Below are 17,667 nucleotides of genomic sequence, written 5' to 3'. Positions count from 1 at the left end.
TGCCAGGCTGGAGTGCAGTGGCATGATCTCGGCTCATTGCAACCTCCGCTTCCTGGGTTCAAGCAATTCTCCTGCCTCAGCCTCCTGAGCAGCTGGGATGACAGGCGTGCGTCACCACACTCGGCTAATTTTTGTATTTTTAGTAGAGACAGGGCTTCACCATGTTGGTCAGGCTGTTCTCGAACTCCTGACCTTGTGATCTGCCCACCTTGGCCTCCCTAAGTGCTGGGATTACAGGCATGAGCCACCGCGCCCAGCCCTGGAATTTTTCTTTTTAATTAAGGATAATTGTTTTCTAACATGTCACCCAGCTCAGGTCCATGTAGGGCTTGCCTCACAGAGAGTTTTGTCAGTCATAGAAGTTTTGGTGCAAAGATATCTCCAGGTAAAAGTACAAATGCAGACTGCTTTGTGAATCTACCCTGATCTGTCCAATGGGGTGATCTCTGCTCTGCTGACTCCCAGCACACGTTCTGCTTTCTGCTCCCTCTGATGATGATTTGTTTCTATTCTCATCTTCTTTTTAAGTTCCCATGTTTATTGAGCTGTAGGTCCAAGGCTCTGCAAACTGCTGGCCAGTCTCTTCCCTCTAAGAGCTCACAGTCAATGGGAAAAACAGGCAATCAGAACTCAGTGTGACAAATCTGCATGGTGGAGATACCACAGAATGGAAGGCTCCCTACCCCAGCATGAAGGACCCTGGAAGATTTCTGGAAGGAAGTGGTGATGCCTGAGCTGTGTCTTCACTAAGGTGAGTTTTGCAAAATACTCAAAAATATTTATGGTCAACTTTTCATTCATTTTTTATTCAAACACAAAAGCTTATATTAATTTACATTTTTAGAAGGCAAAAAGCACATGCTCGCCTACTGAAAAATAAATGCAGCCCTTGAATGAAATAAAAGCCTCTTTTCTCTGTGACATCCTGAACATGACAGTCCCTTGGCAGGCTGTGGCCTCCAGGACTAATCCTGTGAGGCAGCCACTGATACAGCCATGGCATCCCCATTGCTCCTGGGAATGCGAGGTGCTATGAGCCTGCCTTCTTAGTCACTTCCCCATGCTTGGCACCAGCCAGATTGCCTTTCAAATTTTCTGACCCATGCTGCACAGCACAACTTTCCTTCCCCAGGACACTTCCTGGGATGCTCCAATCCACACTAACCCTTCATCCCTGAAATTTAGCAGCAAATGCTTGCTGTCCCAACATTGTGTCTGATAAGCCCATATTGTTGACAGCCCTCCACCTACTGACGTATTTACTGAGCAACTTCCTTATTCCAGGCATCATCTCAGGAACTATGCTATATGCTGAGGGCATTTTCTCATTAAGCCTCACAACAATCCTATGAAATTGATATTAATATTCCCATTTAACAGATAAAGAAAACAAGACTCAAATGACTAAAATGTACAGAAAATTGTAGACAAATTTCCTGAGTCCAATTATAGTCCAACTTCAACTACCAGTGGAGTGAAGTTTCATATTTAGGTTCAAAAAATTGAGTAAGAAATGTCTTTGTTAAATAAAAAATGACATTCTAAGAAGTGTCATTACTTTTTTTATCCATGCACAATTTAAAACCAATGCCACTTTCTTTGTGTAAAACACCCTGGGCTTATACAACTGCTCATCTGGTCTTCTGATAACACAGTGAGAGCTGGGTGCAGCTCCTTCCCCTACCAACTAAGTCTAGATCCCATAAGGATGGGACCAGGTCTTGAGCTTCTTCAGATGCCTCCTAGAGTGTCACATGGGGTGGAGCAAATGAAGGTGTTTGAAGAGCCACCTCACACCCTGAAGAGTGTCTGACAACTAGCAGGAGAATAGTAGGTGCAAGAGCAGGGGCACCATTCTCCAGAAGTGCTACCTTATAAAGGTAAATGTTGACCCGGCAACTTCGAAGACAGTGAGGGAAACATGGCAGGGAAGCAGAGAGAAAGCAAAGTCTGTTTTGGAGTCTGTCTTATACAAAAGGTAGTTAAAAGGAGTTACTTTTTTCATGCTTGATTCCCACTAACCATGGACCAAGCCTAATTCAGCCAGGCTCACTCCAGATACAGCCCTCCCCCATTAAAGTCCAGACATGCCTGTGGCTACAATGTAGGCTAGGGTGGCACTATTTGGAAATGGTCTCCTGCCATGTCTTAGGAGATGCCTATGGAGGGGAGTTGGGGAGGATTTTGTAAAAGACAGAGATCCTTTTCCACCAAGAGTGCCACTCAGAGCTCTAGGAAATTTGTCAATGTGGGTGGAATCATGAATGGAGTGACACAGAAATAAAGCATACGTGGTTGTCATGAGAAGACGGCAGTGTGAATCGTAGAAAGATATCACCAACTGACAATGAATGCAGAATTTCTTTACAATTAAAGGGCATGAGATGTCTTTAACCATTATATGTACGGAATCTTACAAAGCTTGATAAACAAACAGGAGGTGCACTCCCAGGTGGAGTTACAGTGCCCTTGAGTAGCCCAAAGTTCCATCCTAATCCATGCAACTCTGGGTAACATCCTATGGAACCAGGATGTTGTCAGATGTGAGAAGCTCCATTTGCCATTTTCAGAAGGGTCTTTCATACCTTGTCTGGCCTTACATCCTCCATCCCTTTCCTTCTGAAATTCAAGGTTCTGAGCCTAGTTATTCTCTAGATGGAAGGAGCCATTACAGAACAAGCCAGCATATTCTTGAGTACTTAATGTGTGATGGGTGAATATTGAGCTGATTTCCCAAGCTAAACATTTTCCAGTAGGCTCAGCCTTAGATCTGCCTTAGGCCCACTCTTGTAGTTCAGCACCTCTATGGTCTGATGTGACCTCAGCATTTTGGCGTTGTCCCTCTGCCTACAATCACAAAGCAGCCTGTTTAGTTGAACCCAGGAAAAGATGGACAACACCACCTAGCATTCATATCATTAATCTTTGAGTATTACTATTTAGAATTGAAAAATACATAAATGGCCCAGAATAGATATTATCATTAATTATTAATATTTTATTTTGGCCATCTCAGTAAGCATTAGATCTGCTATGAGAGGTAGATACAATCATCCCTTGATATCCATGGGAATTGATTCTAGGACCTCATTGGTGTGATGGTTAATACTGAGTATCAACTTGATTGGATTGAAGGATGCGAAGTATTGATCCTGGGTATGTCTGTGAGGGTGTTGTCAAAGGAGATTAACGTTTGAGTCAGTGGGCTGGGGAAGGCAGACCCACCCCTTAATCTGGTGGGCACCATCTAATCAGCTGCCAGCAAATATAAAACAGGCAGAAAAATGTCAAAAGGCGAGACTGGCCTAGACTCCCAGTATACGTCTTTCTCCCATGCTGGATGCTTCACGCCCTGGAACATCGGACTCCAGTTTCTTCAGTTTTGGAACTTGGACTGGCTTTCCTTGCTTCTCAGCCTGCAGATGGCTTTACTGTGGGACCTTGTGATCATGTGAGTTAAAACTTAATAAACATATATATATATATATATATATGTGTAAACATACATATATATATTCCATTAGTTGTGTCCCTCTACAGAACCCCAACACACTTAGATACCAAAATTCACAGTTGCTCAAGTTACTGATAAAAATAGCATAGTATTTGCATATAACCTATGCACATCCTCCTGTATGCTTTAAGTAATCTCTAGATTACTTATAATAAGTTTTAATATCTGATACAATATAAATCCCATGTAAATAGCTGTTATGCTATATTGTTAAGGGAATAATGACAAGAAAAACAGTTTACACAGGTTCAGTACAGATATAATTTTTTTCCAAATATTTACCATGCAAGTTTGGTTAAATCCACAGTTGAGGAACTTATGGATATGGAGGGCCAACTGTATTACTAGCAACTTGAGTAAGGCAGAGATTGAATTTCTGAAAAGATGTAGCCTGACTGGAGATGGCAGGAGGTTGGGTAGAAAGAGATGAATTTCCCTGCTCTGAAGAAGATAACAGGCCCCAACAGTTAGAGAAAAAAAAGTCCCAGAAATAGATATCATTTTAGAGAGCAGCTCTGAGGAAGCACAGGACATGCTGACAGGGGCATAAGGGAAAAGACTGCTGTATTTCTTACAGGGTCTTAGAGGCTTTTATGAGTAGGTAAGTATCATTGTTAATGAGCACATCCATTGTCGGAATGCAAATGTATTTGCTAACCCAAGCAGCTCTACTGTAACGTACATTTACTGTGCCCTTGTTTACAAGGTAATTGTTCCAGAATCCTAGTTAATAAACTGCTGCTACAATAGGGGTGAGAGATTCTTAACAGCAATTCCAGAAAAGCCCTGGTTTCTGAGTCCAGCTTGATATTGGAGGGAAAGATTGAGTTGTCTTAGGACAAAGCCTCAAGGACCAAAGACTGTATTGTAATGGGAAGAAACTGAGCAATAGGGACTTCCATCCTGCCTTTTTGGTCCTAACACCTGTGCTTTTCCAACAAATGTTTGTGGATTCGTCTGTAGCCCTAGGACCTCCCTTTGGCTTTGATTGATAAAGAATAGTAATGATAACTTTATAATTAAGAGATATCACTTACTGAGTATTGGTAAATACCTCATCTCTTTTAAATGTCACAGCAACCGTCTGGAAGATCCAACTATTATCTTTAGTTTTTAAGCAGAAAAACCAAGGTTTAGGAAGATTAGCTCAATCTTCTCAGCCTACTCATTGGGATTAGAACCAGGTCTGTCTCATTTTCTTGCCAAGGTATATTACTCAGGCACATTTATTCTCTACAGGAAGAAAAGATGGTAAATTTCCTTTCTAACTTTCCAGTTTTGTCCTTCTCTGTATCACTAATCTACACATATCAGTACTCTTGGAATTTTTACTTGTTTATATCTCCTCAAATAAAATGTGTGAGTTTATGCATCAATGCCTTTGCACTTGCTGTTTCATTTGCTTTAAGCCTATTAAGAAAAAAAAAAAACAAAACAAAACCTGAATATAAGTTTTCAAAGATGATTATATGACCCTTTAAGGCTATATATCTTTGCTCCACCAACAGAGGTCGGGCCTCTAGAGCCTGCAGGACAAATGCAGCCCACCACTGTTTTTCACACCCGTTCATTTAAATACTGCCTATGCTGCTTTGTGCTACAATGGTCTGACTGAGTAGTTGTGATAGAGACCTTTTGGCCCACAGAGTTTAAAACATTTACTACGTGGGCCCTAACAGAACTAGTTTGCTGACCTCTGCTCTAGGAAGACTTGACTGTGTTTGATATACTATTTACTATTGATTAGGGTGCAGATATTTTGTACTCTTTAAAGGTTAGAGGTGAACTTATAGAAAACTGACAAGGGGAAATGCTAGTAGTAAAGAATCTTAAAAGTTACAGTTTTATTGCCCTGCAGAATGAACCAGCTTTGTATCTCACTTAGGTATCTCTTCTCAGCTTTCCTTTTTATTTCACAGACTATAAAATCTCAGTTCTTATGTTCTCTTTGTACTGATTTTGTTATCCTGCTGGTTCTTTCATTAAAAGGTTAAATTAAACCCTCTCTTTCTTTCTCTCTCTCTCACACACAAACACTTTTGAAAATTTTATTTTGACAAGCTCTTGCATCCACTTTAAATCACACTTCAATACTTAGTGTTTGTCCCCCACTCTGGGAAGTCTTCCCTGTTGGCGTCTCTCCATCCTGTTATTGGTCCTTCTTACTGGCCTCTCTCTCTGCACCTGAAGCATCCTGAGTACCTTTTCCTCAGCACTAATTCTCTCAGTTTATGAGCAAAGCAAGGGATGCTGAGCAAACAAGGAATAAATCTACTGCAGGGTCTGAGAGGAGCTCAGGTATGTACAGGACAGGTAGGGGCAGGGATTGCTGTTGAGTCCAGGGTTTTGTGAAACACTTAACTAGATTTTTGGCAACTTTACTCCTGACTTCCTCCATCTCAAGCATCTAATCTCAAACTCTTCAGAACCATTAGGGGCCCCAGGCTTCAGTAACCTGGGGTCAAAGGCAGAAAATCATTGTTTACTTAAATGTAGCAAAATAAGTAAGTGCCTCATTACATGCATGCCATCTACAAAAGATATATATGAACTTAGAAGCATTTTATCAAAACATCTGGGAAGGGAGAGTTCAAGAAGTTTCTAGCAAGCAATGAATAAATGAGTAAATGAAACCCAATCAGGGGAAGTACCCACTATTGCCATTTTAAGATGTCATTGGTATGCTCATTATTTAGTATGTTCTTCAGTGTTTTACTTTGGAGACAAAACATGCATAGGTGCTTTCACAATTCATGCCCCCTCCCTACCCCACATCCCATCTTCTTCATTAGATCTAATTCCTCACTCTTTGACTTTTAGGAACCCAATGGCCATGGCAAAGCTTTGTGTTGGAGGCAGAATTCTGTAGCTCGCTTTTTAGTTTCCACATAATATCTGCATTTGCAAGTTCATTTTGCATGAGTGAAACTCCTCTAGCTATTATTATTTTCTGAGATTAGCGTGGATTTCTGGCAGGTAGTGTTCTTGGCACCATTAAAGAAAGATTTGGTCTTCTGAAATGTGCTCCATTCAGCCTTCCAAAGTTATTATCTTTCTTCCTGTCCACCCCCACTCTAATCTGCCACAAGGCAAGAGGCAGAATCACGTGGGCTGTCAAAGCCAGAGATTGCAAGGTGTGCGTGTAGTAAAAAGAGGTTCATTAACCCTCAGCCTTTGTCTAACTCCTGACTCTTTTTTCTGGACTTCAGACAAAGTTTCAAAAACTGTCATCCAGATGACGCATTCAATCTATGAGAGATGTCAACAAGGTGGTGGAGGGGAGGATGTCAGAGGTGGTCTTGGATAGAGATACCATGATATAAGATGTTGTCTTCTGTTATGAAGCCTGCCATCAGGACAGAGTGATGGTGAAACAGGTGGGTGGGTGCTCACTCCATGCTAGCAACATGCAGTTTTAGAGTCTTGTTAGAAGAGGAAACTGTCGTGGAGCCAAGGTGAAAAGGTAGCAAGCAAAGATTGTAAATGGGCATTTGTTGTTTCAGTTCTGGGTCCTGTTGCCTTATAATTTGATTCAAGCACCTGAACTTTCAAATGTCTGAGCAACCATTTCAAAGATTTCACAGATTCACAGATTTTAGATCTGGCGATTCCCACCCCCTCATACCACACCCAATACTGCAGCCATAGATTGGATCCCCACTGGAATGTCATCTACTGTCTTCTTAAGAATCTACAGGATTGTATTAAGGGAACAAACAAATGCTTCTTGAATCAATAAATGGATTATCCCCATTGCAAAAGGATTTTCATTTTACAAAAGAGAACACGAGCCTTTATTCCTATACTAACTTCCTTTACCACACTTTAAAAGTAATTAGGTTCTGACCCAGTGACAAAGCAGATGCTCATTTATGATATAAAATGAAGAAAACAGTCAACCATAGTGCATTAGTCCATTCTCACGCTGCTATAAAAACTGCCCGAGACTGGGTAATTTATAAACGAAAAAGGTTTCATTGACTCACAGTTCTGCATGGCTGAAGAGGCCTCAGGAAACTTACAATAATGGAGGAAGTGAAAGTAAACACATCCTTCTTCACATGATGGCAGGAGAGAGAAGTACAGAGGGAACTGGGGAGAAGCCCCCTATAAAACCACCTCATAAGAACTCGCTCACTATCACAAGAGCAGAATGGGGGAACCACCCCCACGATCTAATCACCTCCCATGAGATTTTTCTTGCAACATGTGGGGGTTACAATTTGGATTATAATTAAAGATGAGGATTTGGGTGGGGACACAGGCAAACCATATCACACAGTAATGACAACCAGTCTTGGCAAAGTCATGGGGATTCTATTTGTGCCAGAAGCAGGGGACTGGGAGAACAGGGGAGAGACTGCCTAAGCTACAGAGAACATCTCTGTGCATGTGTTTGTGGATGTGTATCTTTGACACAGTGGAACCTTCGGGGAAGGAATTTCCTCCAGTACAGGAAATAGAAGCAGGGCTGGCCTCACATATTAGGCAGACTGGGCTATTACATATGTGGTGTGATTTGGAGCATAATATGAAGGTCTTCTTGTATGAAATTTTATCCTCCACCCACTACTGAGGCCTACCTTCCTGTAATTGGGGAAAATCTTTCAGTCCTTGGATAGATTTTAAAATAATTCCCTAAGAGAAAGAAAAATAGTGAAACTCATGTTGAGATGTATGTGACTAATAGCAGATACCCTTGGGAGAGCAGACTGATGCTGATGCCTGATGGTGGTTAGTGACTGGGGTAGGGGGTACTGCCCTGGCCTGGACACAAGGATGAAGAAAGAAGAACATAAGGAAATTGAAAATAGTCTTTGCTGATTGACTCTAAATCACGGCATGAATATAAGGGCGATCAGAGCAAGAAAAAGCCCTTTTAAGCTGAAATACATGTTTTAAAAGTTGGAAAACTTGGTTTTGGGATTCAATGCACGAAGAAATGAGGCTCTAGAATTCAGCTCATCCAAGCTTATGGGACTAGACTGCAAAATGTGGTTTCTTTCTGAGAAACTGAATCCAAAGAAGTAGAGCCACTACTTCCATGTTGGTAACTCTACCATTTCCAGAGTGGGGAAAGAACATTTCCAAGGTCAAAGCTCCATACTTGACCACAATTGGTAAACTTTGTATGTCTAGGAGGTAGAGCTAACACTCAGTACCTGTGCCATTACTCTTCCTTTCCAACTGACAGACAATGCTAACTTTCCAAGTGATAATCAATAACATTCCAAGTGATAGTCAATGCTAACTCATCAGAGCATCCTTCCTGCTTAGCCAATTTTCAGCCTCAGAATCCTTCTCAACCTAGCTCTCCAGGCTGCCAGCATTAGTTGATTGGACTTGTCTATTGGGTAAAACTTTATTTTCCTTTCTTGATTAAAAGCAATGTAGAGATTCCACATATAAATTCTTTAACAATTCCATCTCTATGCATTTTTCCCTGAAAAGGCAAATTAGGATAGGGTACTGTAGTATATATGTAGTAGATCTATGATGATTTGATGAATATTCATGTGAAAAGAACACACAATCGACCCATTAACAATAATTCCTGAGAGTGAGGGGAAAGCAAGTACTACCTGGAGATTGTGAAAGTATATTTGCTAGGATGGCTCATTCCCTGTTGACTCCAGAAGAGAAATAATCCACTGAGGCCTTATCTATGCAGAGCTCCTGCCATGTTCAACAAGAAGAACACATTGTAGTTTGTGTTTTATTGAATTTGCCTGCTCAGAAAACAGCAGAATCATGATGAGTTAATATGTTCACACCAGGTTTAGGCCTTTTGGAAATGTCTGGAGCTCACCAGTATGGTGGGCTCTGGAGCACCTCCTTGTTAACAGTCATTAAACAAAACCAGAGTGGGCTCAAGTTTCAGCAGTCCTGCCAAACCTGTTCAGATTCCAAACCCTCTCTTAGATTCCATGTCACTGGAAATGACCTAACCTCTGTTGTTTAACAAGGAAAAGTTCAATAGCAAAATGTATTTTCTTGTTGTTGTTGGTCTAGTAGGAGATGCCAAATAACACATTTTACTCCATGTTTCAGTCAGTGGTGTTTATTGAGAAAACCATCAAGAAAAACAATTCTGTTCAAAATGTGTGTATGACTCTCAGGAGAAAACAGAACCTGGGCCCCTTTAAAGAAAATAAAACAAAACTTTAGTTCAGCCTTGAAATCCCTCCTCAGAGAGAAAAGTTGTGAAAAATAAAAGTTAGAAAAGACATTCTTTCAGTATTTACTATCTAGTCATTAGAAGTAAAGAACAGCACAGTAGGCTAAGGCACTACTACAGGGAAATCTGTGCTACTAGTTTAGGTAAGGTAAGTGGATTGGGAGATGCAAGTTCCCAATATTAACCATTATTCCAGACTCTGGAGCATCTACCAAGAACCACATACACTTCCCTCTTTATCCATTCCCACACTCCTCCCAACCACCTTCAAGGTTGTTATTATCTCATTTTTGCAGGGGCGCACCATGAGATGCATGAGTCACTGGCCAAGAGTCACTATGGAAAGGGAGAGGCTGACTGTGAAAAGAGACTGAAAAGTAAGTTTTCAGCCCCAATTTTGGATAAGGATCAATAATGACTTTGTCCAGAGTTTCTGTATATTTGACTCTTGTTCCTAAACTTGCTTACTTAATCCTCATAATTTCATCCCACAAGTTCATTGAACAACTCTGTTTAAAGCATTTGCCCACTGCTGGGAACACTGCCTGGAAGATCTGGAAACATGGGAAGTCAGATCTCAGAACAGGGTATAGTTACACGGAGTGGGTTGAAAGGGAGCAACAACCAGAGTATGGGTCACCAGAAACAAGATGAGGGTGCCAGATACATGCTGTACCTACTCCATACATTCTCATTCTAGCTATCTGTAGCCCTTTCCTAAATGAGAATACCCAAAAGAACTTGTTTGGGCTATTATATGCAAGGTGGCTGAGGGGACTTGGCAAATATGAAATTATAAATGTTAATAAACAGTGTGGTAACTGATGAATTTTATAGCTCACTCGACTGGCATAGAATACACACCTTTCAGATAAAGAGAATCATCTGAACATTTGCAAGCCTAGGGGAATTAGAAATGGCACAAAAAGAGACAGCAGGGTTTGGGGCTGTGCCACCCCCTGCCATATCTCATATTCTGTGTATTGATTTGGAAGAGACTTCTGAATCTCTCCACTCACTTCTCTGGATGGAGACCCAGCATGGGAAGCCATGCATGGTTGCAGTAAGCTGAGACGATGGGCTATGACATCCAAGTGTACCATATTGAACCAGCAAATACAGATAATTGAGTTACCTTCAGAATGATCATTCACAGCGAAAGGCTTTGGATTCCTTTAAATTAGGAGCAGCTGTGACTTTAAAGTACCATCCGGCAAACATATACGTTCCCATCTCCAGCTCCATTCTGAAGAAGCTGAAGTCTGAAGTGGATTAAAAACAGCTAGCAAGTCTGTTCCCTCTACCTACCCATTTGCCTCTGGAAAAATCCAAACAAAACTGAGTGGCAGCCACACACATGCTACTGCCTTTACACACATGCACGGCCTTCTGCTCCATGCTTCTGGCTCCATGCCCTGTACCAAAAAAAAAAAAAAAAAAAAAATTCCACACATAATCACCAATGATAAATCCTGCATAAAAAAAGGCTATATCCGGCCGGGCGCGGTGGCTCATGGCTGTAATCCCAACACTTTGGGAGGCTGAGGCAGGCGGATCGCCTGAGGTCAGGAGTTCGAGACCAGCCTGGTCAACATAGTGAGACCCTATCTCTACTAAAGATACAAAAAATTAGCTGGGCATGGTGGCAGGCGCCTGTAATCCCAGCTACTCGGGAGGCTGAGGCAGGAGAATCGCTTGAACCGGGGAGGCATAGGTTGCAGTGAGCCGAGATCACGCCATTGCACTGCAGCCTGGGCAACAAGAGTGAAACTCTGTCTCAAAAAAAAAAAAGAAAAAAAGGCTATATCCACTCAATGCCACCCTGTCTTGGATCTTGGATCCCCCAAAACTACTTTTGGGGAACAAACTGGCAAGAAACAAACCTACTCCTCATGTAAGGAAAAATGAGGGAAACAAAAGGCAAAAGGGCAAATGAGGATATGACACCATACAGAACAGAACATAAGCCACATGGTCTACACTGATTTCCTAGTCTCGACATGCCCTGAAAGCAGATGGCATTTTTTGGATACACTCAGATGTGCCCAGACGGCTCGTATGGTTCATTCCAAATGGCCTGCCCACTTGGAAATGCCAGAGCCCCATTTCTTTCTGTGCTTCTCCAGAGCCATCAGTGTAGAGAAGTCGCAATCCCCTCACCCAGCACCACTAACACAGCATGCGTTTGCTCTTCAAAACCTCTAAGCACTGTGCTGCATGCTGGGGAAATAATGGTGATAAGATGTGGGTCAACATTCATGGAGTGGTGGGGGAGATAAAGACAGGTCAATTCAATATATGCAGTGTGATGAGGTTTATATGTGCAAGCTGTTATGTGACCCACAGGAGAGGCAAGGAACCTAAGTGTGTCATCAGGGAAGGTACCCCAGGGGAGGTGGCCACTAGCTGGAATCTCAAAAGATGAGTAGAAATTAGTCAGAGAGTGCGGTAGTTGGACCCCCAGTGGGAGGGTATTTCAGGTCAAAGGGATGGCACACAAAAACTCTAGAGGCCAGAAAGACCATGGCACTTATAGAAAAGGGACTGGGTGTGATAGATTAGATTACTCTTCAGGAAATATTTACACACTCTCCTCCTGCCTCCTGGGGTTGTCTCTGGCATGCAACGTGATGTTGGAGTGGCAATACAACTTGTTTTGGCCATTGGCATGTTCACGGACATGACGTGAGCACAGGCTTAATGTGTGCTTGTGCAGTCAGCCCTGTCCTCTGTGCTCCTCCATTTTGCCATGACAGCATCATGTCTTGGAAACCTCCAGGCACAGCACAATGAGCTGTGTGTAGAGCAGACTTGAATCTAATCTCCACTGAGCTCAGCCTAAACTCCAGATGATGACACACATGGGAGGGGTAAATAAATGCTTACTGTTGTATGTCAGTGAACGCTGCGGTAGCTTGTTATGTAGCATTACTGAAACTATAGCAGGTAAGGTGAGGTATAGGAAGAGAGGACGCTGGAGAAGAAACAAGCTGCCAATTATAGCCAACTGGAACAAACAGAAAAGAGCCAAAGGAAGCAAAAATGACTCTGAGGCTTGGGGCGGGGACTGCCTTCTTTTGGGTAGTCATCCGTGCCTGGCACCTAGCACAGTTCTGAGCACACAGCAGCTCCTCGGTAAAGACGGTTGAATTACCAAACCAGCTAGTCCTCTGCCAAGGCCAGTGAGCTACACATACATCAGCAACAAAGACTACTTGCAGCACTGGATCAAAACATTCATAAGCAAAATTTTTGCTATGGTCACAGCCTAGAAACTCTTTCAAGTTAGAATAACCGTATAAACTTACTCAGTGTAACTAGAACTTGGATGAACATGAAAGAAAAGTCAAACTCATTATAATAATATTTTGTCTGGAACTTCCAGGCTTAAGAAACATCTCACAAGCTTCTAATATAGATAATATTGGGTACAATAAAATGCCCAGTCACTGAGATCAGAAATACTTCCTCAGTAAACATTTATTAAGCTCTCTGTTTATGCACTGCATTGATAGTCCCTGGAAGATACAAGTTGACTCTTTAAGATGGTCTTTTAAAAGTACAGACTTACGTGCAATCTTATGTCAAGTACACCAGCACCACAATTTTTTGTTGAGCTAACCTCATGGTAACCAGTGTTGTGGTTTGGCTTGAAATGAGCTTTCTTAAGGCATAGTAGAGTTAGCTATTATTAGGATCAGGGAATTGAGAATTAAAAGGTTCTCAGAGCCACTGATGATATTCAGAGGGAATGTACCTAACAAAACTCCAGCCTCATCCTCTTCTAGCAGAGCTAGGGGGTAGTTTTCGTTTCACTCTTTCAGGGCACTCTGGAGCAGCCTCTGTGGTGAATGAAAGGAGAGCAGTGAGCCTGGGAGATAAGAGCCAAGAGCCATGGCCCATGGGATGAGGTATGGGAAACAAATTCCACAGAAAGATAAAGTCAGGGAAGAAACTAGAGAAGATGGCCACAAAAACGTACCCTGCCTATGTGCTCTTCATACAATGTGACTTTGACTACTCCTCCCGTCTGGGAGGGCTTGTGACCACATTGGAAATGATGCCACATGAGATCTAAGCCTTGGCCATAAAAGGCAACATAGTTTCCACCTGGTTCTCTTGTGATACTAGCCTTTGGGGCCCTGAGACACCATGTAAGCATCTGAGTGCCCTGAGGCTGCCATGTTCTGTGGAAGCCCAAACCACATGCAGAGGCTGCAAGATGTTCTGGCCACAGTCCCAGCTTTGTTCCAGATGACAGCCAGTATCAACTCCTGGGCCTGTGCATGGAGACAGCTTTGGACAATTCCAGTTCCTGGTTTCAGGTTACCCCTAGCCTTTGTGTCTTCCTAGTGAGGACCCCAGACATCAGGAGCAGAGGCAAATCATCCCTGCTGTGTTTCTTCTAAAGTCCACAAAATCCAGAAATGATCATTGCTTTCTCTCATTATGCGTTGTTACATGGCAATAGATAACTGGAATAGGAACATGAGAGGGGGCTGTCTCCCTAGTCTTCCTTTGTGCTCTCTGCAGTGAAAGGTGAGCAAGTCATCTGCCCTACACAAGCTGGAAGTGTATCTTCCAGACCCCAAGCAGAAACAAAAGCATATGAAAGAAGTACAGATATGTTTCACTGTACAGGACCTAGAAAGATACTCATCCCTTTAGAAAAGTGGTTCTCAAGTGAGAGCGATTTTGTCCCCCAAGGGACATTTGGCAATCTGGATACATTTTTCAGTGTCACAACTTAAGGGAGTGGTGCTATTGTCATCTAGTGGGCAGGGGCCGGGGTGCTGCTAAACATCTTGCAATACACAGGACGGTCCCTGGATAACAAATAATTACCCAGTCCGTAATGTCAATAGTTCGAGGTTGAGAGAGTCTGCTTTAGAAGATAGTAACTACTCATAGCTGGGCAACTTGGTAAGAATCTTCCATCTTCACAAAGGAATGCTACCTGGGCCAGGAAGACAAGGCTATGTATGACAAGGTATAACTGAAGACTCTTTTTCTTCTCTTTCAGATGTTAAATAAGTGAAGCAGGTTGTCTACCCCAGGGTGCCCAGCCCTCACAATGTCCTCACTGAACCTTGCCTTCCACACCTGGCTCCCTTTAAAACAGAGCAATTAACCACCTGCTGTCAGACTCACTCTGGAGGACTGCTTCTCTTGAAAAAATATTATATATATACACATATAAAATATATATTCACTAAGGATAGTAAATTTTAGGACAGTGCCTGCTGCATGTGGCCAGGACATTGTAACTGTAGTAAAAGCTATCTAATTTCAATGTATCGCAGACTAACTTCTTTGACAAAAAGCCACTGGAGGTGTGGGGCCCCCGGGGGCCCACTACCAGCAATACTTGAACACAGTGTGCCTGGTCCTGAGCTGGGTGCTGTGTTTTGAGTGGAAGAAGGTGTAAGCCGACTGTCCTCCAAACTGCTGGGGTGTTTGCAGGTGGCTGGATAGAAACCTTCTTCTTCAGCAAGATTTATGCCCTGTTTACTTTCAACAGCAAGAAGAAAATGCGGCTGAAAGTCCCCTTCACTTTTACAGTGAGGGTGCAGCCTCCCTGGCTGATTTATGGGCCTGCTCATTCTGACACCATCGACACTATTGGAAGTTGCTCTGCCGGATACACCCTCTGCAAGGCAGGCAGCATGGGGACGAGGTCAGAGGCACACTTAGCAGGAATCAAGGCCAGTGGCCAAATTCGCAGCTGAGACTTCTAGAGGAAGACTGTGCAATAGTGTTGAAAACCATGCCAAGACAAAATATAAGGAAAGGATGAAAGTCTAAAGAGACTGTCAATGTTTTCCAAAATAAAAAGAGCTCCTTTCTCTTTGATTATACAAGTAATTATGCTCACTGGGGGAAAAAGGGACCTTAGATAATATGCAGCAATAAAAAGGAAATAAAAGTATCACATGGAAGAAAAGGGTCAGGGAGAGTAATTTTATGCCGGAGAAATCTAACAAACACTACCTCAACCAGGTGGTCAAGGTCAACGTCGACAGTGGTAAGTCAAGTACCTTGATATAATGTGATGAAAATGGCACTTACCACTGTGGTCTTCCTCCTCAAAACCCATAACCTCATCTAATCATGAAAAAGTCATGAGGCAAGTCCCAGTTGAGGGGCATTCTTCGAAATACCTGACCAGTATACTTCAAAACTATCAAAGTCATCAAAAACAAGGAGGCCTGAGAAATTATCACTGCCAACAGGAGTCTAAGAAGACGTGACAGCTAAATGGAATGTGCTGTCCTGAATGAGGCCCTGGATCAGAAAAAGGACATTAGGTAAAAAGTTAGGAAATCTGAATGAGGTGCTGACTACAGCTATCAATAACGTATAAATATCAGCTCATTAATTATATCGAATGTACCACATCAGTATAAGATGTTAATAATAGGGTACACTGGGAGTAGGGTTTATGATAACTCTCTGTACCATCATTTGAAATTTTTATGTCAATCTGAAACAGCTCTAAAAAAACAAAGTCTATTAAACAACAAAAGGAAAGGAAAAATCATTCATAATTGTGTCTTCCAGGCATAACTACTGTTAACAACATGGTTTATAGCCCTCTCTTTGCATATACAATCATTCTATGGGTATACAGATTATTTGTATTTTTTAACCCAGATAAAGGTTATTCTACACTTATGTTTTTTAATCCTTTTCATTCCCACTCTGGCCTTCATTTGCAAAGCTGGCCGGCATACATTACTATCACATTCCATAACCAGGGGAAGGTGATGTATATGTACGAAGTACATTAGAACATCTTAAACTTAGGCGTACTTTACAAATTAGCCTGGGCTAAGATAAAATGCATATTGTAGGAGGACATCTGCTAGGAAAGGACTAGTTTAAACAATATTATAAAGGATACATGCAGCCTATAGGAGAAGGGGAGGGAGAGGAGCCTAGACTTGTACCATTATATTATATGCCATTCCCTTCACAAGTACCATCTCTTTCAAATCTCATGGAAACCCTGCAAGATCATGCGCTCATTTTCAGGAGAGAAAACTGGGGCTCTGAGGGATATCTGTGACTTGCCCAAAGTCACACATCCAAATAACACTTAGTGTGTGGTGGAGCCAGTGTCAGGACCCACATCCAATTCTAAAACCTGGGCTCTTTTTCCTGCATAAGGCAGTGTTGTTGCTTGGACTAAGTCAACCTTCTAGAGATAAGAACACTAAGAACAAATGGGTATATGACTAAGCACAGTTCGGCCACTATAACAGTGTTCATTAACCATGTCATGTGTAATGGTTTTTGCATAGTTTGAGTATTTGAGTGGTATCTGTGGCTCTATGTGTACCTTGGGGAACCACAGGGCGAATGTAATTTCGCTAAGGACACAACATCTAAGCCTCTGTTTCAAGGCCCCCATGGTTCTGAGGTAGCACACCACCAGGTTGGATGCAAAGATTCCTGGTTCTCAGCCCCAGGGATCTCATTTAGTAGGTCGAGTTTATGGCCTGGAAATTGGTAGCTTTTTAAGCTCCCCAGGTGACATGGATGCACAGTCAGATTTGAAAACCACTATGATGGAAGGGCCCTTCTAGCTTTGAGATTCTAAGAGTAAGTGATTAGCAAATTAAATCCCTGTAATTACTCTTCACAAATCTCACTATAATTCCAAAGGGCCTCTTCTGGTCTAAATACCATTTCCTTGGAGAAAGGAGGTGGGGAAGAGAGAGAGAGAGAGAGAATCAGTCTGCTAGCATTCTTCTACCCTCCACACAGAACACTGGTCATGGGGGAAGGATTCTTGAAATTTCAAAAAAGCACAAATAGTCCAAATGGAAAAAATTTCCCTGAGAACCTTTGATCTAACCCTTTATGGTACAGACAAGGTACCAACGTTCTGAGAACCATTCTTAAACCTGGACTGTCCACCTTGAGCCCACACATGAGCCAGCATCCAAGGAGCAGATGGTGTGGCTGTGGG

At 42.3% G+C, this 17,667-nt stretch overlaps 1 protein-coding gene across 2 annotated transcripts in view, besides 2 other annotated features; it reads right to left on the bottom strand.

The window, feature by feature from the left end:
• Window positions 1–17,667, bottom strand: part of CLSTN2 (calsyntenin 2) — a 642,213-nt gene that overhangs the window by 220,661 nt on the left and 403,885 nt on the right. The window lies entirely within an intron of this gene.
• Window positions 14,521–15,127: an enhancer, noted in NCBI's record as "OCT4-NANOG-H3K27ac hESC enhancer chr3:140060452-140061058 (GRCh37/hg19 assembly coordinates)". NCBI's record gives its function as "activates a minimal SCP1, AML or CMV promoter by ChIP-STARR-seq in primed H9 embryonic stem cells {active_cell/tissue: H9 hESC(primed)}" and the evidence as "EXISTENCE:reporter gene assay evidence [ECO:0000049][PMID:30033119]".
• Window positions 15,128–15,735: an enhancer, noted in NCBI's record as "OCT4-NANOG-H3K27ac hESC enhancer chr3:140059844-140060451 (GRCh37/hg19 assembly coordinates)". NCBI's record gives its function as "activates a minimal SCP1, AML or CMV promoter by ChIP-STARR-seq in primed H9 embryonic stem cells {active_cell/tissue: H9 hESC(primed)}" and the evidence as "EXISTENCE:reporter gene assay evidence [ECO:0000049][PMID:30033119]".

Source organism: Homo sapiens, chromosome 3, assembly GCF_000001405.40.
Source record: "Homo sapiens chromosome 3, GRCh38.p14 Primary Assembly".
NCBI lineage: Eukaryota > Metazoa > Chordata > Mammalia > Primates > Hominidae > Homo > Homo sapiens.
Note: the sequence above shows the minus strand (reverse complement) of the source record. Positions and strands in the feature narration are given on the sequence as shown.